Source organism: Homo sapiens, chromosome 8 (assembly GCF_000001405.40).
Source record: "Homo sapiens chromosome 8, GRCh38.p14 Primary Assembly".
Taxonomy (NCBI): domain Eukaryota; kingdom Metazoa; phylum Chordata; class Mammalia; order Primates; family Hominidae; genus Homo; species Homo sapiens.
In genome coordinates, this window is record NC_000008.11 from 87339946 (window position 1) to 87367685 (window position 27740).

At 34.8% G+C, this 27740-nt stretch overlaps 1 protein-coding gene across 2 annotated transcripts in view, besides 1 other annotated feature; it reads left to right on the top strand.

Annotated features, from left to right (window-relative positions):
* Positions 1 to 27740, top strand: part of CNBD1 (cyclic nucleotide binding domain containing 1) — a 562238-nt gene that overhangs the window by 473531 nt on the left and 60967 nt on the right. For both annotated transcript variants that reach the window (NM_173538.3, XM_017013149.2), the window contains exons 9-10: positions 11740 to 11849; positions 13691 to 13841. In NM_173538.3, coding sequence (NP_775809.1) covers positions 11740 to 11849; positions 13691 to 13841 — 261 coding nt within the window. The remainder of the gene's footprint in view (positions 1 to 11739; positions 11850 to 13690; positions 13842 to 27740) is intronic.
* Positions 2648 to 3163: an enhancer, noted in NCBI's record as "OCT4-NANOG hESC enhancer chr8:88354821-88355336 (GRCh37/hg19 assembly coordinates)". NCBI's record gives its function as "activates a minimal SCP1, AML or CMV promoter by ChIP-STARR-seq in primed H9 embryonic stem cells {active_cell/tissue: H9 hESC(primed)}" and the evidence as "EXISTENCE:reporter gene assay evidence [ECO:0000049][PMID:30033119]".

A 27740-nucleotide genomic window follows, 5' to 3' on the forward strand; every position in this document is an offset into this window, starting at 1 on the left:
TCTATTTTTGTCTTTATAGTAATCTTTACCTGTGATTTTTATAATTTCATATGCTTTCATGTTGTGGTTTAGCATCTTTTCAATTTAACTTGAAGGACTCCCTTTAGCATGTTTTGCCTAAGGCAGGTCTAGTTATAATAACCTCGCTTAGCTTTGTCTGGAAACATCCCTCTCGTTTTCATTTTCGAAGGATAGTTTTGCTGCATCTAATTATATTTGTTGATGGCACTTTTCTTTCAACATTGAATATGTTATATCTTCTTCTGACCTTCAATGTTTCTGCTGAGAAATCTGCTGATGGTCGTATGGAGGTTTCCTAGTAGGTGATAATTCATATTTTTCTTGCTGCTTTCAAAATTAACTCTGTCTTTGACTTTTGACAATTTGCCTATCAAAATCAAATTGTCTTTGATTCTGTGTCTGTATGGGTGTGGAGTTCTTTTGATTTATTTTATTTGGGAGGCATTGGGCTTCCTGAATCTGGATGTCCACTTCTTTCCCCAGGTTTGGAAAGTTTTCAGCCCTTATGTCTTTACATAAACTTTCTGTTTCTTTCTCTCTCTTCTCCTTTGGGAACTCTCATAATGCACATGTTGGTCACCTTGATGATATCCATAAATCATTTAATTTTTCTTCACTCTTTTACTCTTTTTCTGTTGTTGTTTTTTTTCCTTTTGCTTGTTATTAAGCTTTTCTGTCAGGAAAATTTCAAATTACCTATCTTCAAGTTCACTGATTAATTTGCTTTATAAAGTCTGCTGTTAATCCCCTCTAGTGAATTTTTAATTCAGATATTCTATTCCTGAGTTGTAACATTTGATTCTTTTTTATATTTTCTCTTTATCAAAATTTTTATTTTGTTCACATATTGTTTTTCTTAGCTTGCTTATGATTATTTTGAATTTTTTGTTGGGTAACTCCTATACCGCCATTTCTTTAGTGTCAGTTTCTGAAGTTTTATTTATTTATTTATATCTTGATTCATCAGTTTTCCCATTTTTTTCATGTTTCTTATAAATATGTGTTAGTATCTGCGTATTTGAAAATACAACTATCTATCTCTTTAATTTTTCATACATACGTTCATACAGGGAAGGACTTTTATCACTTAGCCTGGCAAGAGATTCTTTGGGCTTCTCAAGCCTTTTCTTTAGATGTATCTTCTTGGACTTGTGCTTGTAAATTTCTAATTCAAGATATTTTCTATTTTTGGTTTTTCCCCTTAGGCACTCATAACCTCTTGCTCTCCCTAGTGTCTGCTTGTTGTAGCACTGGTCCTCTGGAGAAGCAGAATGCTTCCCAGCTCTTTTTTTCTCAATGACACCCAGATATCTAGAGTATGCTGGGTCTCATCAGTGCTCTGAGAGAGATGAGACAATGTCTGTTCCTCTGGCAGCTCCTGTCTTCTTTAAAAGTGTGAACATTGAATGTATGTTTCAGTCTTTTTTTCCATCCCTAGGGGGAAACTGGTTGCTGGGAGTTTTCTCTTAATCACATAGTGCTGTGCTGGGGGTAGAAACACTATGACAAGAGGGTAGTGTAAACTCTTCTAATAGTCTTCTGCTATGGTTTGAATCTTTGCCATCTACAAAATTCATGTTAAAATGTTATTGCTGTTGTAATAGTATTAAGAGGTGGAATGTTTAAGAAGTAATTGAATCATGAGGGCTCCACCCTCTTTGATGGGATTGGTGCAATCATAAATGGGCAAGCCCAATCCCTCTTGCTCTCTCTTTTCCTTTTGCTCTGATCTCTTGTGAAGAAAAGTGTTTCCTGTCCTCTGGAGGATGTAGCAACAAGACATAATCTTGGAAGTAGAGAGCAAAACCTTACCAGACACCAAACTTTCTGGTGCTTTGATATTGGTCTTATCAGCTTCCAGAATTGTGAAAAAATGTGTTTCTGCTCTTTATAAATTACCCAGTCTTAGATATTCTATTATAGCAGTACGAAACAGACTAAGAATCTATGTGGTGGTTTCATGTTCACTCAGATACAGAAGCCTCTTAATGGATTTCTGGGTTTCTTACAAACAAAACTCATCTGGGCTTGGCGCAGTGGCTCACGCCTGTAATCCTAGCACTTTGGGAGGCCGAGGCGGGCAGATCACAAGGTCAGGAGATCCAGACCATCCTGGCTAACACGGCGAAACCCTGTTTCTACTAAAAATACAAAAAATTAGCCGGGCATGGTGGCAGGCATCTGTAGTCCCAGCTACTTGAGAGGCTGAGGCAGGAGAATGGCCAGAACCCAGGAGGCAGAGCTTGCAGTGAGCTGAGATTGTGCCACTGCACTCCAGCCTGGGCAACAGAGCAAGACTCCATCTCAAAAAGAAAAAAAAAAAAAAGAAAACTCATCTGTGTACTCTTGTTGAATTAGTGTCTCCATGGGAGGAGTAAGAGTCTGGTGCTTCCTATTCCACTGTCTTGTTTGAAACCAATTTATTTGTATTCTTTAATTAGAGTATATTTCTCTCAGTTACTACATTATGAATCAGTTATTTTAAAATTATTTTAGAAAATGTAATTATGTTATCTAATTATGAAAATAATGTAAACATTATGTATACATTTGAGAAAAACTATTGGGGGAACCAGCCCCCAATATTTCAACATAGTTTCTTTCTGTTTTCCCTAAGTGTCAGCCAGTCTGAGAAATAAAGAGAAAGGGTATAAAGAGAGGTAATTTTACAGCTGGGCCTCTGAGGGTGCCATCACATATTGGTAGGGCCGTGATGGCGACCTCGAGCTACAAAATCAGCAGGTTTTTATTAGGGATTTCAGAAGGGGAGGGGGCACACGAACAGGGAGTAGGTCACAAGGATCACATGCTTCAAAGGGCCATAAAGATCACAAGGCAAGGGCAAAATTAGAATTACTGATGAGGGTCCATGTCCCACTGTGCACGCATTGTCTTGATAAACATCTTAACAGTAAACAGGGTTTGAGAGCAGAGAACCGGTCTGACTAGAATTCACCAGGCTGGAATTTCCCAATCCTAGCAAGCCTGAGGGTACTGCAGGAGACCAGGGCATATTTCAGTCCTTCTCTCGACTGCATAAGACAGACACTCCCAGAGCTGCCATCTATAGACCTACCCCCAGGAATGCATTCCTTCCCCAGGGTTATTCCTTGCTGCAAAAAGAATTCAGCGATATTTCTCCTACTTGCTTTCTGCAAGAAGAAAAATATGGCTGTATTCTGCCCAACCACGCAGGCAGTCAGACCTTATGGTTATCTTTCCTTGTTCCTGGAAAATTGCAGTTATTCCGTTCTTTTTTAGGGTGCACTGATTTCATATTGTTCAAACACACATGTTTTACGGTCAGATTTCATGTTGTTCAAACACACGTTTTACAAACAATTGGTACAGTTAACACAATCATCACAGGGTCCTGAGGTGACATACATCCTCAGCTTACAAAAATGATGAGATTAAGTGATTAAAGACAGGCGTAAGAAATTATTAAAGTATTAATTTTGGGAACTAATAAATGTCCATGAAATCTTCACAACTTAATTCTTCTGCCATGGCTTCAGCCGGTCCCTCCATTCGGGGTCCCTGACTTCCCGCAACAAAAAACAGATTATAAAACATGTAACTTATAACTATACTCTTGTCAACATCTCCTGTTAACCTTTCCTATGTGTTGTTTAGGCTTTCAATTAAGGAGCAGAGAGCTTTTGTACATTTTAACAAAGTTGAATACTATAAAGTTAGTGGAACACTTTTTCATTGCACATTGAAAAGTGAGCATATTTCTATCAGTAATCATTTTAAAAAATATTAACTTATTGGCAGTATAATATATTCTATGGGTTTTCATAATTTAATCATTTACCTTTTGATTACCATTTACATTGCCTAAAATGTCTGAAATACAGTTTTGTATACTTAATATATAAATATGTAGATATTTACCTGATTTTTTTCCTAAGAAAATTTTGTACAATTAATGGTATTTCCTCAATGTGTATAAATATATCATACTTGATACATATTATAAATTACTTCCTATAAAAGCTCTAACAACTTTTTCATGCTCTTTGCTTAGGTTTTGATTTGAGCACTAGATAGTCAATATTCTAATGTATAGAATGGTATGTAGTTTGTAACAGAGGAAGTGTCATAAATCAGTGGGAAAAGGCCAGTAATTTTTAAAATAAAATGTGTTAGAAAATTATCTGTACAAACAGGAAAAATAATCAAGTTATTTAACCCAACATAATGTGTCAAAAATTATTTCAAATGAACTAGTTATTAATGAAATATCAATAGGAAGAAAATATGGGTAAGCAATTTTTATTCAGTGGTTCTATATACAAAATAATGAGATTAAGGGTAAAATAATAGTTTCAGAATAATCAAAAATACTATTACAAAAGAGATGTATTAAGAAGGAGTTTACAAAGTCTAATAAGAAAAACATGAACATTTCAGTTTAAAAATAGAAATGGATTTTATCATATCATTTTAAGATTGTTTCAAAAAATAATTTTTAAAAATTTTCACTGTTATTTACTGTCACTATTGTGTACAGAAATGAAGGTTGGGTCACCAATATCTGTATGAAATATGATTTTACATATAGTGATCGAATTCATTTGAGTTTAAATAACCAAGATGTAATAAAATAAATCTCTTTACTACAAATGGTTTACCTGCCCCTGTGTAGACTACTTTAATGTAAACCAAGCAGAATATGTCTTGAATCTAAATTAATTATTGTGAAATTAATCAGGTACGTCATTATTTCACATAACAAAAAAATTACTCATACTGTACACTTGGTACAAGTGAGTGAATGCGTTGCATGGTACCATCCATGTACTTCCTTTGACCAGTTCAATTAATAGTAGTTATTCATCTCTGAAACAATGCTGCTTAAATAATTGAACTGAAATCATTATAGGTAGTTAGGCAGTGTTAGGATGAGGTAACTAATCAGTGTATAATATTTAAATGGACAGTTACCCTGGTTAACTAGAATGTATGACTAAATATGATTACAGAAACTGAAAACATAGAAACTTCTCCTTTTGACACAAATATGAAAATATTTTCCTTCTATTGATTTTGCGCTAGTTATAGTGCACTGTGCCTTACACATTAAGTTAGAGTATCTCTTTTGATGCTCTAACAAACTCTGTGACACAAAGTCATTTAACTACTTCAGCTAAAATAGAATTTTGATTCAGAATGTCAGGCTGAACATACTTTCCCTAGCACACAATATCTTATTGAAATGAAGCATATACACTTATCTATTTAAGTACATCCTTCCATGTGTATTTAGATTCAACATAGTGCTAGAAAAACTGAAGGGTTATATTAGTGAATCACACATATTTTTGGAACTTGGTAATCATACAATTCTTATGTTATTTGAAACATTTCCCTTTTAATGTTTCTACTTGCTTAGCATCTAATCAGTCATTTGGTACTGCTATCTAAATTCTTTTTTGGTGCTCTACCCCTTCTGCATAGCCAGAAGTCCCCCAAGTATCAGTCACTTGACTTCGTTTATTTTGACTGTGGTGTCTAAATGCAATTGACTTTGGGTCAATTGTCAGTCTTTTCCTTAAAACCTTCCCTCTGACTACATCAACAAGAATCAATTTTCATTTCAGGCAATCAATAAGTCATAATTTATATAATCAACAATAATTGTTCAAAATAATGAGAAGTATCACTTAAATGGTGTCAGAATTGTAGATTCGAAACTGAACTAAGCAAGAAAATTAATGAAAATGCAAGCTCTTTATGAAATAAACATAAAAAAGACTTAAAAATTAAATTGGAATATCAAAAACATAAAATTCCACCAAAACTAGTTGTGATTTCAACAGAGTATCAATAAAAATCTTGATGAGTACACCCAGAGTAATTAAGTCTGTTGACTACTGAAAATAAAAAGAAGTTAAGGAGTATTTCTACCTTGCATAAAGAGGTGACTAATTAATTTCTAAATTTTGATTAAAATAAACTGATATTCAAATGCATAGTTCTTTGAAATGGAAATATATTGGTTGTGTTACAGTTTCATGGCCCTGATTATAATATAAAAAGTCATGTTTTGTTTAATTTTCTTTTTTTTTCTTTTTTTTGTGGGGGGGACAGAGTTTCACTCTTGTTGCCCAGGCTGGAATGCAATGGCGAGATCTTGGCTTACCACAGCCTCTGCCTCCCTGATTTAAGTGATTCTCCTGCCTCAGCCTCCCAAGTAGCTGAGATTACAGGCATGCGCCACCACGCTCAGCTAATTTTGTATTTTTAGTAGAGATGGGGTTTCTCCATGTTGGGTAGGCTTGTCTTGAACTCCCGACCTCCAGGTGATCCGCCCACCTCAGCCTCCCAAAGTGCTGGTATCACAGGTGTGAGCCACCGTGCCTGGCCATTATACTTAATTTTCTTCATAAAATTTGAGAATCCAGGTTTGATATGTGTTTAATATTAATTTAATAATACTTTTATTAATTATATTTTTTCTAAAATTTCTATTTGGTTATTTTTTGTAATCCAATTGGCCAATTATGAATCTCTTTTTCTTCCATAAGTGTAGTCTTATATTTGCTATTTCATCATTGTGATGTCTCTATCTATGTGTATATTCGCTACACATAGAAAGTATACATATATATACACAAAAATGTATAATAGTGTGTCTGCATATATATATATGTATGTAGACATGTTTTTAAGAGTATAGTGACTATGTGCTGATATACTAATATATTTGCTAATAGAGCATGTATTTCATTGAGAGTTTATATTCCCTAAAATAGCATCTTATTATATAGAGAGATTCTTTGAAGCTTGGGATAAGGTTAATTCATTCAGAAATAATTTATTTTCCTTTATTCCAAGCATTCAGAGTCACTAAAACCCAGTATGGTTTGAAAATGAATGTTTAGTTAAAGGATTTTATTGCCTCACAGGTGGTATGGACTCTAGCCCCAATATCATGAGTGAGAAATTTTCAGAGACTTGCTACCTTTTTGTTTTTTCATTTAATTCAGAGCCAGGACCAAGAGAGGAAAATATCTCCAGGAGCTCTTTCTCTGAGGTGGGCTTTTTCCACTTCACCCACTGAGAGTATTGCTCTTTGGGGGCTTATGTAGGAGGATTTCCACATTTGATCTTTCACACGTACTTTGCTACTGCCTCCAGGGCTTTCTTACCCACCGCCAGACAGATACAACTGTACACTTTCTTTTTATTAATGTTTTTTGATAAATTCTGTTGCTGTTCTGCCACCTCATATAGTTTTAAATATTTTATCCAGAATTTTTAGGAGGACTACTTGGGGAAGGGTTTCAGAAAAATCTAAGCCACCATATTCTGAGCTTTTCCTTATGCTCAAGAAAACCTTTGTTTAATGTTGAGATTCTTGAGAATATGCATTCTTCCAACAAATATTTGTTGAGTGCCTATATGTAGATACATAAGTGAACAAAAGATAAATATCCTTGCCTTGATGGAGCTTGCATCCTAATGGCTAGAAAATATAATATACAATAAGTATAAGCAATAAACAAATCAATAACTTATACAATAAGTATAAGCAATAAACAAATCAATAACTTAGATGGCAACACACACCTTGGGGATAGCAACAGAGAAGGATGAAAAGCTAGAAGGAGCAGTATAGAGTAGTCACGGTGATCTCATTGAGAATGTGAGATTTGGGCAAAGATTTAAAGTTGGTAAGAAAGATGAGGTAAATGTATGGTTTAATTGGTTATTGGGCTGGACATCAAATCTGGATAATCTCTTCTTCCTTGATCTGTAGATGGCTCCATAGACATAGCATTTGTCTTACATTGCCTGCTGAGAAGGGGAGAAAGGGGTAAATGTGGGAGCAATAGATAGTAAGAGGGGATCTCTAATACCAAATATTGCCCTTCTTCACCTTCCCTATTTTGCAGTGAGTAACCATATTCTGATAATTTCTGTGACTAATTCTATAAATATATTATTTTAGTAAGTTCTTTGGAAGTCTCTGAGGCATATTCAAAATTTAATTTTTTAATTTGTATTTCTCTAGATTTCCTCAGGTTTGTCTATAACTGTTTTCCAAATCACACATTTCTAACATTAGATAAGTGTACATTTATTTTTTTCTTATGCCAAGTGACAGGTACTTAATATACAAGGGATATTTTGTGTATAGTATTCATTCTTTAGGAGAACAACCTCTTTAAATGTGCCACAGAATTCAGAAGGCATTGTATAATTGGAAATTAATCAAAACTTCATTCTTCTCAGATGCACTTATCTTTAAGAATTTGCTCTACAGGGCTATAAATGCTATCTATATTTATCTGCAAATAAATATACATTTTTAATAATAAAGAAGTAGTGTTTAATATTGGGTAAAGTATTGATGTTTACATGGTATTCGCATTGGTATGGACTGTTACAGAGATGTAAAGCCCTTTCTAACCAAGTTATTTCTTAACATTTTTAAAGCAAACTATATATATTTGGAAGGAGAATATATTCAGAAAACATTCTCAAAAGGGAAAATAAAGTTCAAAGATAACATTAATTGGTACTATTACTTTATACTTTTCTTCCTTTAGTAGTCTATCTTTACAAGGAGAGGAATCCATTCAGCTAATGGATGTCGTGCTCAAAGTTGCCTCGGCATTGTCCATCCTGAGATATATTCCTGTTCCAAACCTGTTTTGGTATGTTAGACTAGTAGGCTGAGGTTTATCTTAAAATAAGAGGATGTCCTTTAATAATCTCTCTAATCATTAGTTTCTATTTAAACTGAGACCTTCACTATCCCAGTGCTGATGCTAATAGCCAGTAGGGAATTATTCTTCTTATCGTAACTTCTTCTGGCTTAATTTAGAATTAGAATAAAATGATTTTATTAGACTTGGGACTATTTCTGGGCGTATGATAAACAACAGAAAGAAAAGGAACAAGGCCTGATGTTTAATTTCTGTGAATCCTTCTGATATTCTTCTTTTCCTTTGCCTTAAGATAAAATCAAGTTTGTTCTTTTCATAATGATCTAATGCTTTCAGGTCTTCCGAGTCTGAGTCTTGATAAGGGTCTTTAAATATTACTTTTAACTACAAGTTCCACTACATTTTGTAAACATAAATGAATATGACCTTGAGATAATAATAAATAAAATTTTGTCTATATAGTTCATGATTAAGTCTTTTCATTTAAAAATGTGTTACAATCCTGCAGATCATCGTATGTTATTTGTCATTTTCTATATAAGGGAGGAGGAAAGGGTATCCAAACAACATTTATCTTGACAGCATAAGTTCTTAAAAATGGAAAACATGATCAGAGGCTGAATGAGTAAAATTAGGAACAACAATCAGGGTAGGGAGTAATTGCATGATTCTGTTTCTAGTCCAAAATAGTAATATTAATATTTAAATGTTCTTATTTAAGTGTGAAGATACAATTTTTTTTTGAGGCGGAGTCTCACTCTGTCGCTCAGGTGGGAGTGCAGTGTCATGAGCTCAGCTCACTGCAACCTCTGCTTCCTGGGTTCAAGCTATTCCCCTGCCTCAGCCTTCCGATTAGCTGGAATTACAGGTGCGCGCCACCAGGCCCAACTAGTTTTTGTATTTTTAGTAGAGACGAGGTTTCGCCATGTTGGCCAGGTGTTCTCAAACTCCTGACCTCAGATGATCTGCCCGCCTCGGCCTCCCAAAGTGCTGGGATTACAGGCGTGAGCCACCGCGCCTGACCAGAATATATGATTTTTATATGTATTTGAATTCAAGTTTTTTGCCTAGGTCAGGAGGGTTTTGCTGTATTGTCTTCATTGAGATGAATATTTGCTATGGTTATCATAAAGACCATAGACAATGATTCGAGTAGCCAGTTCCCCCTCTAGGGAATGAGACTGCGTCATAGATTTTGCAACAATGGTTTGGGTTTTCCAATTTTGTCTTGACTTCAACACAAAGAAAAATTCCTGTGGCCTTATTCCTCTTTGTTGTTATATATACTTCTCTGTGACCTACATAGGGTTTGACTTCCAAGAATTATAGTAGTACAGGTCTCATAGTTAAAAATAATGGATTTCTTTGGTACATGTTTAAGTGCATTATTTCCTTATCTATAACAATTGCTAGGAGCTTCTATGCCTTTCTTTATATCCTTGCTGATTGACTAAAAGAAGATACATAGTTTCTACTATCATATGTTTTGGTGGAAGAGTTCCTCTTACTTTTAAGAGAAAAATCTGTGAGAAAATATTTCACATAATTCTACGCATACGTTATACTTTTACATTGTAATATAATTTTAATATCATTTTCTGCTGTAAAAAAAGACAACAGAAGAGTTACCATAAATTTTTATTTAAACAAAATAAATGATTGACAACAGTAGAATAACCTTTTAATTTTTTATTATAAATATTGAAGTAACTATTACATGAGGAGAAAAAGATAGACTATCCTCATAATTATGCCAACAAAATTATTGAATCCCACTTCATTTATCTTGAAGTACTTATTCCATTGTATGTTGATGTTTATTTTTTGCTGGTGGTAAATTATATTTAACAATTGTTACCGTGTTATTTTAGCCATAATTTTTAAAGAATTATGCTGTGCTCTAATTTCTTTACTATTTTGGTAACATCAATAATTTTTATTATGTTGATATATGCTCTTTTATGCTAGAAAACAAATAGGGATGCCTTCAAGTGATCAAAAAACTTGTTTTTGATAGTTTATATACTTTATAAAATTATGATAAAGTTGTATATGTGTCTTTATATTTAGGTTACTACTGCTGTGTTTAAAGTTTTCAGAATTAAATATTGATATGTTTCAGATTTCATAACGTAGAAAATATTTTGAAATACTAATTTTAATTTATATATTGCCAAGTATTTAAATCATGATGATAATTTAAAATGTTATGTAGATCAAGGGATTTTTATTTTAATACGTTGATAGTTACAAAGTTATAATAGAATTCACCTTCAAATGTATCTTGGCCTTAGAGTGACTTTACAAGTTTGAAAGAATAATGATAATAACATCGATTTATTGTAATAACATGATATTGTGTTATACTGTGTACCAGGCAACATGCTAAATACTTTATATGCCCCATGTGGTTTATATAAGGCTTAAAGTAAGGACTCCTAATTAATTTTTCCATTTTAAAGATGAAAAATTTGAAGCTCAGAGGGGTTATGTCATTTATCTAAGGTGACATAGGAAGTAGCGGAGTAGGTTCAAACTGGGCCAATGTGGCCTCAAAGCCCTTGTTTTAACTGCTACTATAATCAGTAGAGTGTTAGTACAGCCCAAGATATAGGCTCTGGAAAGTGAATTTTCAAATATTTATCAATATTGTGGGTTTGTTATTAAACTATCAGAAATTTCAAATGAGCCATGGTGGAAATATTTAGACCTTGGAACTCAGCAAATGCTACAGATCAAGGTTTCTTCTATATTCCCCTTTCCTTCCTGCATTGTACAGTATACTAGCATATCAGTGCCTTTACTGCCAAAGTCTTGTCAGTGTTTGCAATATTACATGTATTATGTTAGAGATATAAATACTGGGCGTAATCTTTTACATCTTGTATTAAGTACTGTCTATAAACTGGAATCTATTAAGAAACTTACTATTAATAGTTATTGAATTAAATACATTAACTTTTGTTGCTAAAATATCTAAAATAATTTATTAAAGACAAGAATGTGTGAAATGAACTATCTCTCTTCTTTTCAGTGATAGTGGAAAGTGGAAATATAATTTCTTTTGTGGGTTATATTAACTCTGGATGCTGTAACATTTATAGAAGTATTATAGGATTTGTGAAACTACGATCAAATAAAGTGGTAAGTTTTCAACATGTATTCTTTTTAATCAATTAATCTACTCTAAAGAATAGTGTCAGATACCTTTTCATGTACTTACTAGACATTTATTTGTATTACTTTGTGAAATTTCTATTCAATTTTTTGAAATTTTTGTGTTTGTTTTTGGTTTAGTTATAAGATATAAGAATATAAGTTGTAAGATATATTGATTTGTAAGATATACAAATGATCAATGAACACAGTAAAATATGCTTCACGTTCTTATTCATTAGAGAAATGCAAGTTAAAACCATAGCCAGGTACTACTACAAACATACCAGATTGGCTAAGATGCACTTAATCATTTGACCTAATTCCACTCCAGATAGTTTCTCCAGAGAAGTGAAAACATATGTCTACACGAAGACTTATATGAATCCTAGGGCTGGGCACAGTGGCTCATGTCTGTAATCCCAGCACTTTGAGAGGCCGAGGCGGGCGGATCACGAGATCAGGAGATCGAGACCATCCTGGCCAACATGGCAAAACCCTGTCTTTACTAAAAAATACAAAAATTAGCTGGGTGTGGTGGTGCACACCTGTAGTCCCAGGTACTCAGGAGGCTGAGGCAGAAGAATCGCTTGAACCTGGAAGGCGGAGGTTGCAGTGAGCCAAGATTGTGCCACTGCACTCCAGCCTGGCTACAGAGCAAGACTCTGTCTCAAAAAAAAAAAAAAAAAACTTATATGAATTCTTACAAACTAAAAACTGGAAGTAGTCCACGTATCCACTGACAGTTGAATGAATAGAAATGTTACAGTATATTTATACTATGAAATGCCACATAGCAGTAAAAATAATTATGGATACTTGTAAGAATCTCAAACATACTATGTAGGGCCAAAATGCCAAACCTGAATGAGCATGTTCTATATAATTCCATTTTTATGAAGTTCTAGAACAGGCAAAAATATATAATTACTGTGGTAGAAAAGTTAGAACTAATCATTAGTTGGTCAGGGAGACTTCAATGGAATTCAATTAAATATCTAAACTAACTTGAATTCTGCTGCACTAATCATATTCAGTGTAAAGATTTGCCATTTATATAGGTGCAAATATTCAAGTTATATTGGATTTGACTCCAGGTTATTTAGTAAATGCTTTAGCCTCTTCCAAGTTCTTGCCACTTTCCTACCTGAGGGCTATATTCTCTTTTATATATCTTAGTGGTCATCAACTCCTAGCAAATCTCCCCGCAAAGGTAATTTGAGGTCTCAAAATTTTCTCCAGAACCATTCATATTGAACATCCTGTAGGCCCTTCTCCACAAGGTCTCTTATTTGAACCAAAATTATAGTTCCCTGAGTCAAACTCATTTTCCATGTTTCTTTTGTACTTAAACAGAAAAGACAGGGAATAATCCCTCCTTTTTGACTTAATACCATCGGTTCTGGCCCTGGCATTTTCTGCTTATTTTCCTTCTTCCCTGTGGGTTCAACAAGAGTGCCTTGTGACTAGGGCTGATGTAACAAACAGTGGTTGACAAAACATCTTAAATGAAACTATGCTCACAAAATGATATCCTAGATCCTTGAAATGTGGAATTAGTTCAATATTTCCTAAACATCTTTGTGGATTCTAAAGGACAATGCTTTCAATTACCTTAGATATGCCTAAGTTATCTATGAATTTACTATTGCTCTAATATAATTGAAATGCTTATGTAAGTAAATTTTTCTGTAATTTAAATACAATTGCTAATTTATTTTAAATATCATTTAGTAAAATGGTTTATGAGTGAGTTTCTGATAAAAACAATACTGATTCATTATATGGAAGCAGTTGCATTAAACATCAATAATATATTTTTTTAACAGAAAAGATCTCAAAAACTTGTTTATATGGGGAAACTTAAGGAGAAGGAGTCCTTTGGTGAGATTAGCGTCCTTCTTCAAGTTCCTTTCACGTGCACAATCATTACCAAAAAAGAAGTTGAGATGGCAATCATTGAAGATAAGGACCTATTTGGTAAATGCATAAATATCTTTTAACTGTTATACCATTTTATTGGATGAGTTCTTAAATTTTTTAAATTTTTTTCCTTATTAATCAGATGCATATTTATTAAATTGGGGTTCACCTGCAAAGGATGGAGTATTTGCATAATCTCCTCCAGATCATTTCTCTCTTGGTGAATTTTGAAAAGGGCACATGTTTGTAGAGTGGGCTGGAAGGGAACTTCATTTTCATCATATAGAAAGAGGTGAGGACTTGATGCCGAGGTTTGATGCAGGGGCTGCCTGAGGCTTGGTCTCCTGGTCCTCCAGGACCACCCTGAACTGAAGTTGGAGAACCCAGGGCAACCAGCCCTGCTCTGTGTCCTGTCCTTCCTGCAACTTGCTGGACCTCACAGCTGAAAATGGGAGCCTTGTCTCATTCTCTGTGTGAGTCCTTAGGATAATGGTATAGTAATAATAATAGCAATAATAATATTAGTCTAAGTCACACAATAGTAAGTGAAAGCATTCCATTGCAGCATAAACTATAAAGAAATATTTATGGTAAGCATTCAGGGGTACTTGGTGGATCCCAGGCAGGGACCTGGGCCTCATGAGGGTACTTTAATTCTCTAGGATTTCTTTTTTTTTAATTTTATTATTATTATACTTTAAGTTTTAGGGTACATGTGCACAACGTGCAGGTTTGTTACATATGTATACATGTGCCATGTTGGTGTGCTGCACCCATTAACTCGTCATTTAGCATTAGGTATATCTCCTATTGCTATCCCTCCCCCTTCCCCCCACCCCACAACTGTCCCTGGTGTGTGATGTTCCCCTTCCTGTGTCCATGTGTTCTCATTGTTCAATTCCCACCTATGAGTGAGAACATGCGGTGTTTGGTTTTTTGTCCTTGTGATAGTTTGCTGAGAATGATAGTTTCCAGCTTCATCCATGTCCCTACAAAGGACATGAACTCATCATGTTTTATGGCTGCATAGTATTCCATGGTGTATATGTGCCACATTTTCTTAACCCAGTCTATCACTGTTGGACATTTGGGTTGGTTCCAAGTCTTTGCTATTGTGAATAGTGCCGCAATAACATACGTATGCATTTGTCTTTATAGCAGCATGATTTATAATCCTTTGGGTATAAACCCAGTAATGGGATGGCTGGGTCCATCAGAGAAATGCAAATCAAAACCACAATGAGATACCATCTCACACCAGTTAAAATGGCGATCATTAAAAAGTCAGGAAACAACAGGTGCTGGAGAGGATGTGGAGAAATAGGAACACTTTTACACTGCTGGATGAGTTTTTTAAAAGAGTAGAGATATTTCACAGACAAATTGGGATACTCAAGTGAGTGTTTGTATGTATATTATGTACAAAGACAACATAGCTATACACTGCCCCTTTTATAATATATTCTGAATTAATTGTACTGGTGTTAGAATATATTAGCAATATTTCAAAAGACTTTGTTTTGAAATTACTAAAATCTCTCTGCCACTTCCCAGGTTACCATTAATAGCAATGTTCCCTTCTTTTCTGGGACATCTTCTGGCTTTCATCTCTAAGGTCATTGCTTTTATGTTTTTGGTTCAGGTCAAGTATGTAACATCCTCAATATTTAATTAAGATCAAGCATATATGAAAATCTAAGGCTGGTAGTATATAAGACTTTATCTAAAATTTTAGAGCTCTAGTAATAATAACAGAATAATAATGCAGCCACCTGTATTCAGCCCTCCAAATACTATAAATACTCAAATTGGAAATACAATTGAGTATGAAGGAGAAATGAATAGAAGCTAATAAGTTGTAACATAATAGGATATTAAAGAAAATTGTAGATATGTACAATAAAACTGGGAGTAAAGGATGAAAGCAAAGAAATTTGTAGACATTACCATGGGTGAGAGGTATGCTTCAACAGACTAAATTGAAAGTTGTTCATGATAAACCATATAAGATTTGACTGAATACTGTTATCCTGAATTTCAATTATGTTTTATGTCTCTGACATGATTTGGATGTTTGTCCTTTCCAAATTTCATGTTGAAACGTCATCCTCAATGTTGGAGCTGCAGCCTAATGGGAGGTTTTTGGGTCAAGGAGATGGATCCTTTATGAATGGCTTAGTGTCCTTCCTGGGTAATGAGTGAGTTCTCACTCTATTAGTTCATGAAAGAGCTGGCTCTTTAAAAGTGTCTGGCATGTTTCTCTTGCTCCTTCTTTCACCATGTGACACACCTGCTCCTCTTCCATTTTCCACCATGAATAAAACCTTCCTGAGTCCTCACCAGAAGCCAAGCAGATGTTGTTGCCATGCTTGTTAGACCCTGGCAAACTGTGAGCCAAATAAACTTCTTTTCTTTATAAATTACCCAGCTTCAGATATTCATTAATGACAACACAAAACTAATACAGACGTGGGGTGTTGCTATAAAGATACATGAAAATGGGAAGCAGCTTTGGAACTGGGTAGCAAGCAGAGGTTGGAAGAGTTTGAAAGTCTCATAAGAAGACAGCAGATGAAGGAAAGTTTGAAACTACTTAGGATTTGCTAAATAGTTGTGAACAAAATACTGATAGAAGTATGGATAGTGAAGGCCAGGCTTATGAGGCCTTAGATGGAAATGAGGAATCTATTGGAAAATGGAATAAAGTGTATCCTTGCTATGCCCTAGCAAAAATCTTGGCTGCATTGTGTCCATGCCCTAAAGATTTGTGGAAAGTTAAACTTAAGAGTGGTGACCTAGGGTATCTGGTGGAAGAAATTTCTAAGCAGCAAAACATTCAAGAATTAGTGTGGGTGCATCCAACAACGTACAATCATATATGAGCATAAAAGATGACTTAACGTTGGAAATTATAATTAAAAAGGAAGCAGAGCATAAAATTTGAAAAATTCACACTCTAGCTATGTGGAAGAGAAGGAACGTGCATTTTCTAGAGAGAAATTTAAATGCACTGTGGAGCAACAACTTGCTAGAGGGATTAGCTTGACTAAAAGGGAGACAAGTGCCAATATTCAAGATAATGGGAGAAGGTCCTCAAAGGAATTTCAGAAATCTTGAAGACAGCTCCTCCCATCACAGGCCCAGATGCCTAGGAGGAAAGAATGTTTTGGGGAGCCAGGCTGAGGATACTGCTGCCCTATGCCACCTCAGGACGCTGCTCTCAGAATCTGAGCAGAGCCATCCTGGGCTCAAACAGCCCCAGATACAGCATGGGCTACTGCTCCAGAGACTGTAAGCTATAAGCCTTTGTGGCTTCCACATGGAGTTGGGTCTGCAGGTATATGAAATGCAAGAGTGAAGGAAGCTTGCTATATTCTACCTAGATTTCAGAGAATGTATCAGAAAGCCTTCCAGAGAGAAGGCTCCTGCAGGGGCCCCACAGAGAGCCTCTATAAGAGAAGTGCCAAAAGGAAATTTGGGATTGGAGCTACCACACAAAGTCCCCATTGGGGCACTGCCTAGTGAACTGTAAGAAGTGGGCTGCCACCCTCCAGACCTGAGAATGGTAGAGCCATGGGCAGCTTGCACTCTGAGCCTGGAAAAGCTACAGGCGTTTAACTCCAACCCATGAAAGAAGCCACGTGGGCTGCATCCAGCAAAGCTGCAAGGGTGGAGCTGCCCAAGGCCTTGGGAACCCATCCCTTGCACCAGTGTACCCATAATTAGAGTCAACAGAGACGATTTTGGAGCTTTAAAATTTTAATACCTGCTCTTCTGGGTTTCAGACATGCATGGGGAATGTTTCCCCTATCTTTTGTCTTATTTCTGTCTTTTGGAATGGGAATGTTTACTTGATTTCTTTAGCACCACTGTATCTTGGAAATTAATAACTTGTTTTTGGTCTTACAGGCTCATAGGTGGAAAGAATGTGTCTTGAGTCTCAGATGGAACTTTGGACTTTTGAGTTGATGCTAGAATGAGTTAAGACCAGGGGACTGTTGGGAAGGGGTGATTATATATTGCAATGTGAGAAGGACATGAGATATGGTAGGCCAGCAACAGAATGATATAGTTTGGATGTCTGTCCCCTCCAAATCTCAGGTTGAAGGGTGATCCTCATTGTTAGAGGTGGGGACTGGTGAGGGGTGTTTGTGTTATTGAGGTAGACTCCTAATAAAGGGCTTGGCTTCATCTTCATGATAATGAGTGAGTTGTTTCTCTGTGAGTTCACATGAGAGCTGGTTGTTTAAAGAAGCCTAGCAGCTCCTTTTCTCTCTCTTGCTCCCTCTCTCTCCATGTGACATGCCTGCTCCTTCTCTGCCTTCCACCATGAACAAAAGATTCCCGAGGCCTCATCAGTAGCCAAGAAGATACTGGTGCCATGCTTGTACAACTTGCAGAACTATCAGTCAAATAAACCTCTTTCCTTTATAGATTACCCAGCCTTGGGTATTCCTTCATAGCAATGCAAAACTGACTAATAGTCTCTTACAGAATGTGTTACCAATACTTGCATAACACTAACTCAAAATGAAAAAAATTAATTCAAATTCATATGTCTAATTTTAAAAGTTGTAAATCTGAAATGACATTTGTTAATTTTATTTTCTTCTGTGACATTCAAATACAACCTCCCTCAAGGTAAACATTGCTTAAAAATAATTACTAACCACCAATTAAAATGACAATATTCTCACTTAATATTTTTTCTTTTCCTATATAATAATATGTTTTTTCTTTTCCTATATAAATGATGTTAACTGGTGCAAGGCAAATACACTGTGGACTCTTTTATGTAAAACAACATTTCACACGTTGTATTATACAAAGTTCTTCAAAAAAAACAGAACCAATAGGATATATATAAATATACAAGAGGCGATCTATTATGGGGATTGGCTAATGTGATTGTAGAGTACACAAAGTCCCATGATATGCTTTCAGCAAGCTGGAGAATCAGTAAAGCCAGTGGTATAATTCAGGTTGTGTCTGAAGGTCTGAAGGGGAACTGAGGGTGTAACTCCCAGTGTGAGGCCAAAGCCTTGAAAACTGGAGAGGGCAGACAGGAGGCAGTTGTATTAAGTCCTGGAGTCTGAAGGCCAGAGCACCAGGAATCCTGGTATTCAAGAACTGGGAAAGATGGCCATCTTAGCTGAAGAAGAGATAGACAGAATTCCTCTGCCTTTTTAATCTATTCAGGCCCGCAATGGATTAGGTGTTATCTGTTTGCATTGGTGTTGGTGGATTTTCCTTAATTCATCTACTGATTCAAATGCTAATCTCTCTAAAAAACACCCTCAAAGACACATCTGGAAATGTTTTACCAGCTATCTGGGCATCCCTTAGCCCAGTCAAGGTGGCACATAAAGTTAAGTGTCACATACAAAAGTGTTTCTTTTAGTCACTTAATAGAATCTCCTTTGTCATCTGGCAGCCTAACATTCAAATACTTGGCATTGTATGGGATTTAGTAATGTTTGTGTGTGTACAAACATTTTAATTCATTCCATAGTCTGTTTTATTCCATAGTCTGCATACATCAGACTATTCCATAGTCTGAATTTCATTTTAAATTCATTCCATAGTCTGTTCATTTGAGAGTGATGTTCTAAAGCTGCTGACATGATGTGTGCCTAATTGAATATTCTCTAAATAGAAATGTGCTTGAGGACTAGATTTTGCTTGTTTTTTCAAAATTTACAAGGAAATAAAATATTGTGTTTATTTCAGAAAGCATTTTATTTCTACATTCTAATATTTCATATTCTATTCCAAGATAGTTAAATGTACATTTTAAGGGCTAGATAATTCTAATGAAAAATTAATGGTTAATTTTGCTGAAATAATTTTCACATATGAAGAACAATGATATTAATTTGCATTTAATCTGCTATATCCTATCTCCATCTACTTCATTTATTATTTGAAATATAGATCCACCTCTATGAAATAACATAGGACAGGACTCAAGAGAAAGTAAAATGAGTCTTAAATATATCAAGTTGAAGACAAATGAAAATGCTGTGCTGGAAAACTCAGCGTGAGCAAACTCTATGTTATGTCATCTTGCTATCAAGTGTTATTATTAGCTGTTATATTACATAGGTGTTAGGAATAATTTAAATTTGAGAAAGTCCACTAAAAATAAACAAAAATAAATAAAATAATTATGTTCCAATAGAATCCTCAATTATTAGTTGGTTATGTTGCCTTCACTTTCTAATTTTTCAAGAATTGTTAAAAACAGCAATTCTTTTAGAACTATAAAGGTATTACTGAAAAAATAAATTAATGCTTATCTTTCTCCAGGTATATGGGTTATACTCTCTATTTGGTCTTATGTAAATCATGTAAAGATTCAGTTCATCTTGAATGAATCAACAATATTTGGTAAATACCCAAAGAGAGCAATTCACTCACTGTACCTGTACTTCAAGATAGGTAGAATAGAATCTAGAGAATATTAAAGACTTCATAAATGTTAAATGCTCTACTGGAGAATTATATATGCAACCGTCTATATATAAAATATAGTAAGATGTATGCAGCAATTAGTTTTGTAATATTTAAAAGGACTTGAGGAGTGGCTTATTTGTTCCTTTTGGTGGTTAACTTTTGGAAGTTAGGAAATATCTTTTTTTAATCTATATGCATCCTTCTCAGACATTGCCTTGAACATCTAAATAAGAATGAGAATAGCATTATTAAGCTTAAGCAAATATAAATTTCCTCTGTTTTTCACATGCTACTGAGAATGTAGTTTATTATTATTTTTATAAAGTCAATATATCTTTGTCCAGATGCAGAGCTTATTACTCAAGTCATTTAAGGTAAAGATAATTGCAAGTCAATATAACTATTTTAATTTTACTGATGTCTTAAATTCTCATTCCACCATTAGAACAAGTGTACTACTTTTGTAATGAGAAAGAATTTCTTTTTATCTATAAAATGAATTACTGATGTTTTTTATTATATCTCATTCAACAACTTATGATTGAAAAATAAGGAATAGCTAATGTGCTTAATTTGCCATACCGAAAAGGAAAATTTCAATTCCAAGGTGTTATTGGTATAAACTATCTGAAAGTTTCTGCTTGTTTTTAAAAAGGAAGAATGCCTAAAGACTATCTCTCATAATGCTTAATACAAAGCACAGGAGGTCAGAGTTTTTACTGCAGATATATCTGTTAAGCATTTCAGGGGCAATAAATATATTCATATTCAAAAACTTCTTCCCAACACATCAGCATTTCACCTTAATGATGAGATAAGTTATAGCCAAGATTATCCTTGTTAAATTAACAAAACTAATAAAAAGGATTTAAGCTCTTGAACAGTTTGCCACAGGGAATACACGACTCTTTCCCCTTTTGCGTTTTTGCATTGTGATTTAAAATTTTGATATATGCAATTCCAAGTTAAAAATAAGATAGGGCACTTATTTTTAAATCAGATAAAAATGCTTAAAAGCATCTTCTCCTCTTATAATTTGTTATTCCTTACTAATACATGTTAAATTTTAAAAATGTAAGTTACAAAGTTGAGTGAAATGTTTTTTGAGGAAAAAATAATATTTTATTTGCAAAGCTTGACAAAATGCTAATATCTTTAATGATAAATGAGCTCTTAGAAATCAGTAGAAGGAGATTAACATTACAAGGGAAGTGAAAATAAAAAGAACAGAGGAAAATGAAATAACACAAATGTCTTACAAGGCTATGTGAAGATGATATAGCTTACCATTAATAGATGAAAAAGCAATTTCACTATAAATTACATTATCAATGCTTACAAATATTGATATCTAATGTTTATATAGTTTTAGGAAGGGAAAATCCTCAAATACTGGGAAAATTTACTCCAGTTATAGGAAATTTACTCAAAGTATAGATTTTGCATATACTTTGCCCCAGCAATTCCAGTTCATGGGGATCATTCCAACAAAATAGTTGGATGAATATATATATATATATATATTCTTGTTCACTACATAGAAAATCTTTGGCTAATATGTCATCCCCCAAGAAACTACTTATGTATCAATTGGTTTATAAAGAAATAGATGGGGGGGTAGAATTTGAAATATAAAAAGCATTGAAGTAAAAATACAAGATTTCACAAAATTCTATGTTCCTTGAATTCTTGAAAAAGAACTTTCTTTAAATGAATCAGTTTTATATTTACTCTGTGATAAGTGAAAATTATAAATGTATACACTTCAGACTTATGGAAGCACTGAGATGAAACACTTTTAATTCCACTATCCTGGCTTCTTTGTTTAAGAATGTCTGTCATTCCATGTCCTGAGATTGAGTCCAATGACAAACCATGAAAACAATTACCATGCTTACTTAAAATCTACTTCAATGACACTCTTTAGGTTACTTTTCAAAAATGAGCTTTCTCAGTCAAGTTTTTCTGATCTGCAAGGAATGTCCACTGCAATGCCTGTGAGGAGTCTCCATACATCATGAAGACCATATTTTGGTTTTGGTGAAGATGATATTAGAAACAAGGGCACAGTCTCCCTCTTTCAGTCATTAAAATCATATTGCCAAGAATGCTTGAATGAGAATACTGCAACAGGTCATTCAGTGATAACTGAGGTTTTTCAATACCAGATGTGTTTATCCAAGTTCAGGAGGAAGTGTTAGCTATTGTACACACTGCCCCTTGTTCATCCAACAGACAGTCCAAGGCAACTTGATTATCTACAAAAAAATTTAGCAAGGGAGTTTAGAAAAGTTTGTTGGGCACCTATAGCCTTTGCAGTAAACTTAGCTATTACTATAGCTAATGCTTGAGACAGATTTTTAATCATAACCTTATTTACATTTGTGCCAAGCCAATAAAGTTACATTCTACCAAAGATGGCCATTAAGAGGAATTTACACCATTTTGTCTACTCCATGGCAAGTCATGGACTGCAGTTTTTAGTAATGGAATCTTTAAGGACTCAGAAAAGACCAGGCAGCCATTCGAACCCTCTGTGAGTCCACGCTTAACATTAAATTTATATCCTTTTAGATACCAATTTTGCTTTTCCAAGTCAGGTACATATAACACTGCTTATTAAATAGGTTATTATAGGTGATTTGACTTGGATCAATCTTATGGAGTTCATTCAAATTGCATATTCTAACTTTTTTTTTGTACTTTAAGTTAAGAACGTGCAGGTTTGTTACATGTATAGACACATGCCGTGGTGGTTTGCTGTACCCATCAACCCGTCATCTATATTAGGTATTTCTCCTAATGCTATCCCTCCTCTAGTACGCCCCACCCAACAGGCCCTGGTGTGTGATGTTCCCCTCCCTGTGTCCATGTGTTCTCATTGTTCAACTCCCACTTATGAGTGGGAACATGAAGTGTTTGGTTTTCTGTTGTTGTGTTAGTTTGCTGAAAATGATGGTTTCCAGAGTTATCCATGTCCCTGCAAAGGACATGAACTCATCCTTTTTTTATGGCCACATAGTATTCCATGGTGTATATGTGCCACATTTTCTTTATCCAGTCTATCAATTGGGTTGGTTCCAAGTATCTGCTATTGTGAACAGTGCCACAATAAACATACTACATGTGCATGTGCCTTTATAGTAGAATGATTTATCATCCTTTGGGTACATACCCAGTAATGGGATTGCTGGGTCAAATGATATTTCTGGTTATAGATCCTTGAGGAATTGTCACACTGTCTTCCACAATGGTTGAACTAATTTAGACTCCCACCAACAGTGTAAAAGTGTTCCTATTTCTCCACATCCTCTCCAGCATCTGTTCATGTAAGTTTCCTAACTTTTTAATGATTGCCATTCTAACTGGCATGAGATGGTATCTCATTGTGGTTTTGATTTGCATTTCTCTAATGACCAGTGATGATGAGCTTTTTTTCATATGTTTGTTAGCTGCTAAATGTCTTCTTTTGAGGAGTGTCTGTTCATACTTTTCGCCCACTTTTTGATGGGGTTGTTTGTTTTTTTCTTGTGATTTTGTTTAAGTTCCTTGTGGATTCTGGATATTAGCCCTTTGTCAGATGGATAGATTGCAAAATTTTTCTCCCATTCTGTAGGTTGCCTGTTCACTCTGATGATAGTTTCTTTTGCTGTGCAGAAGCTCTTTAGTTTAATTAGATCACATTTGTCAATTTTGGCTTTTGTTGTCATTGCTTTTGGTGTTTTATTCATGAAGTCCTTGCCCATGCCTATGTCCTGAATGGTATTGCCTAGGAAATTTTGGTTTTTTTTTTTTTAAACGAATGAAAAAGTTTTAGACAAATCTTTGACAACCATTTGCTGGCTCAAATGTTGTTGTTTTCTAAGGTGTTTCTCAACATATTGTTTTATTCCATTAGGTATTTTATAGAGGTATTATACTGTTTTGTTAATGAGAAAACTAGCTAAACATTTTGAACATCTTGCTGACATTTAAAATTAATTTTTACTTGGAGAGATTATCTCAAAAAATATTGTATATCACATATATTTATAAGTATCTATATATATGTATATATATTCACACATCTAATGTGTGGAAAAGATAACATTACTCAGAAAACAATGATGACCTTGATATTTTAGCCTGACAATATGTGTTTGACCACTCATAAACTTTGTAAATGTTTGTTTATTTTGTAAGAAGAAGTTAATGTTTTTGCTCGAGTTTGGCTTTTAGATAATTTTTTCTCTATCAAGTGTATTAAACTGTTTTACTTTTTAATTCTTTTAAATCCAATTTGTCTTTTTATTTTATTTTTTAAATATTTTAAATTTTATTTTATGTTCAGAAGTACATGTGCAAGTTTGTTATATAGGTAAACTCATGACTCAGTGGTTTAGTGTATAGATTTTTTTGTCACCTAGGTATCAAGCCTAGTTCCCATTAGTTATTTTTCTTGATCCTCTCTCTCTTCCCACCCTCCCCCTCTCTGATAGGCCCCAGTGTGTATTGTTCCCCTTTGTGCATTCATGTGTTCTCATCATTTAGCTCCCACTTACAAGGAAAATATGCTGTATTTGGTTTTCTGTTCCTGCATTAATTTATAAGGATAATGTCCCCCAGTTCCATCCACATTCCTGCAAAGGACATGATATCATTCTTTTTTATGGCTGCATAGTATTCCATGGTGTATGTGTACCACAATTTCTTTATCCAGTCTATTGTAGATGGGCATTTAGGTTGATTCCATGTCTTTGCTATTATGAGCAGTGCTGCAGTGAACATCGCTGTGCATGTGTCTTTATAATAGAACTATTCATATTCTTTTTGGTATATACCCAGTGGTGAGATTGCTGGATCAAATGGTAGTTCTTGTTTTAGGTCTTTGAGGGGTTGCCACACTGCTTTCTATAATGGTTGAACCTAATTTACACTCGCACCAACAGTGTATAAGTGTCCCCTTTTCTCCACAACCTTGCCAGCATCTGTTATTTTTTACTTTTTAGTAATTCAGTCAAAATGGCTATTCTGACTGATGTGATGTGAGATGACATCTCATTTAGGTTTTGATTTTCTTTTCTCTAATGATTAGTGATATTGTGCTTTTTTTCATATGCTTGTTGGCCGTGTGTATGCTAAAGTATCTGTTCATGTCTTTTGCTCAGTTTTTAATGGTTTTTGTTTTTTGCTTGTACATTTGTTTAAGTTACTTATAGATTCTGGATATTAGACCTTTGTCAGATGTGTAGTTAGACCATTTTAACTTGTAGATGGCAGAGTTGATTTTAGCCCATAAAAAAGCCACAGTAAAATGTTGAATATCATGTTTTCATTTTCAGATTTGCTATACTTGAAACCACTTGTTCCACTGTAAAATGTAATCCTTTATGAATTTTATATTTATTGATTCAAAGGTTCTATGTTTACATTGCCATGCCATGTCTAACAATAAGGTCCACTTGTAAGTAGATTTATTTGTTATTGGTAACAATAATCTCACACAATTTTGATGTATTCAGGTTAAAATTTTAAGTATGATAACTTTGCTTTCCTGTTGTAGAAAGATTTTAAAATTAACATTAATATGGGTTTATGCATGCCTCTATTAAAATATAATCAGAAGCAATTATTAGATTTCCAATAAATAACTGGTTTATTGAATAATTACAACTCACAGGAAGCATTTACAAAGGAATTTTATAATGTCTCCCACATTCTTTATTATTTGTTCAAGTTGGAGAAGTTCTTTTCCTGCTCTTTGAAAACTCAATGTAATGATTTTACGATCACTCTTAAGTCATAAAATGTCCTATAAATCATTTTTAGTTGCCAAATATTCTCAGTTGGGATAATAATAAATCTAGCCTGGTAAGAAGCCAGTATCCAGACTTCATTGTAGGTTGATAGGCCAGCTATATGTGTGTATTAATTTCCTTTTGCTACATAACAAATTACCATAAATTTAGCAGCTTTAAACAATACTCATTTATCATCTCACAGTTTTGTAGGTCAGATGTCTGGGCTGGTTCAACTGCGTTCTATTCTTAGAGTTTCACATGGCTAAAATCTAAGTGTTGGCCAAGCTGTGATCTAATTTTAGGGCTGTGGAGAAGAGGTCACCTCCAAGTCCATTCAAATTGGTAGATTTCATTTCCTTGCAGCTGCAGAACTGAAATTCCTGTTTTCTTGCGGTTTTTACCTGAGGGTCACTCTCAGCCATCAGAGCCTGCTCCATCCATCTGGCCCTCTCCATCTCAGCAATGAAGAATTCCTTCTGCTGACCCTCTCTCTCGTTTTGAATCTTTCTCTTCCCTGCCAGCTGAAGAAAACTCTTTGTGTTTAAACAATTCATGTGATTGGGCTAGGCCCACCCAGATAACCTGCCTATTTTAAGGTTAACTCGTTAGTATCCTTAATTACATCTGCAAAAATCCCTGTACTGTGTAATATAACATAATCACAGGAGTAACACCATGGGCTGAAGGTCGTGGGGGCCACTTTAGAACTCTGCTACCATAGTGCTGGAGGTCAGCAGTGGGTAAGGAGAGCATGACAGGTATCTCTGCTTTCCACTGCCATCCCTAAGCTTTCTATTTATTGTTCTGATTTCTCTGCTATGAGGCAGCATGGGGTACTGGGGAGAAGAGGATGGCAAACAAATAAGAAAGGAAGTGAAAATGTTCTTAATTGTTACTGTTATAAACTGTTTTTTCACTATGTGTTTGACAGTTGTTTCAAGCTAAGCCTTTCTAGTGAGCACCTTCAAAGAGTTTTGGATATCCCTTAATATTGGGGAATATTTGCCTGTAATTCCTTAATAAGGTAGTACATTTTCCTCCCTGGGAATCCAGAGATAACTTCAGATTTCCTCTGCTGAGGGTACTTTACTCCCAGCCTCCTCTCTCACTAATATACCATTGGGACTTTATCCTGGCTGTCTTTTACACATGAGATTATATGTGGCCTACATAGGAAAGTCTACATGGGAAGACACTCCTATATTCTTTGTCCTGACAAACTTTGAGAGGGCAGGCCAATTTCTGAGCAGCCACTTATGTAGCTTGTTTGTCAACTGTCAACTAGCTTTTCTCTTACCTTCACAGGTCTCAAGGTGTAGTCAGACAATAGTGTACTCTACTGTGGCTTTTAAATTCTCAGAACGTATATAAAGCTCTCCAGGTGGGCTTTTTGAAGATCCCCTCTTTCAGTTGAGGTGATGAAGAGGTATTTCTCATTACATCCCCTTGCAGATGGTGAAGCTTAGAACAGAACTCTTCGAGAAATCTGCTTCAAAAATCTTCTATCAGTCTCTATTCTCAACATTTCAGTGTGCATGAAGGACTTGCTTTCTGCTTCTCCACATCTATTAAAAAAATTGGTACGTTGTTATGAGATGTACTGCCTTGGATTCTGAGCTGATTCTCCCACTTTTTAATTACCTTGAAGTATTCACTGTGTTCCACACATTATTCTACATACTTTATATGTTTTATCTAATCAAATGTTCACAACAACCCA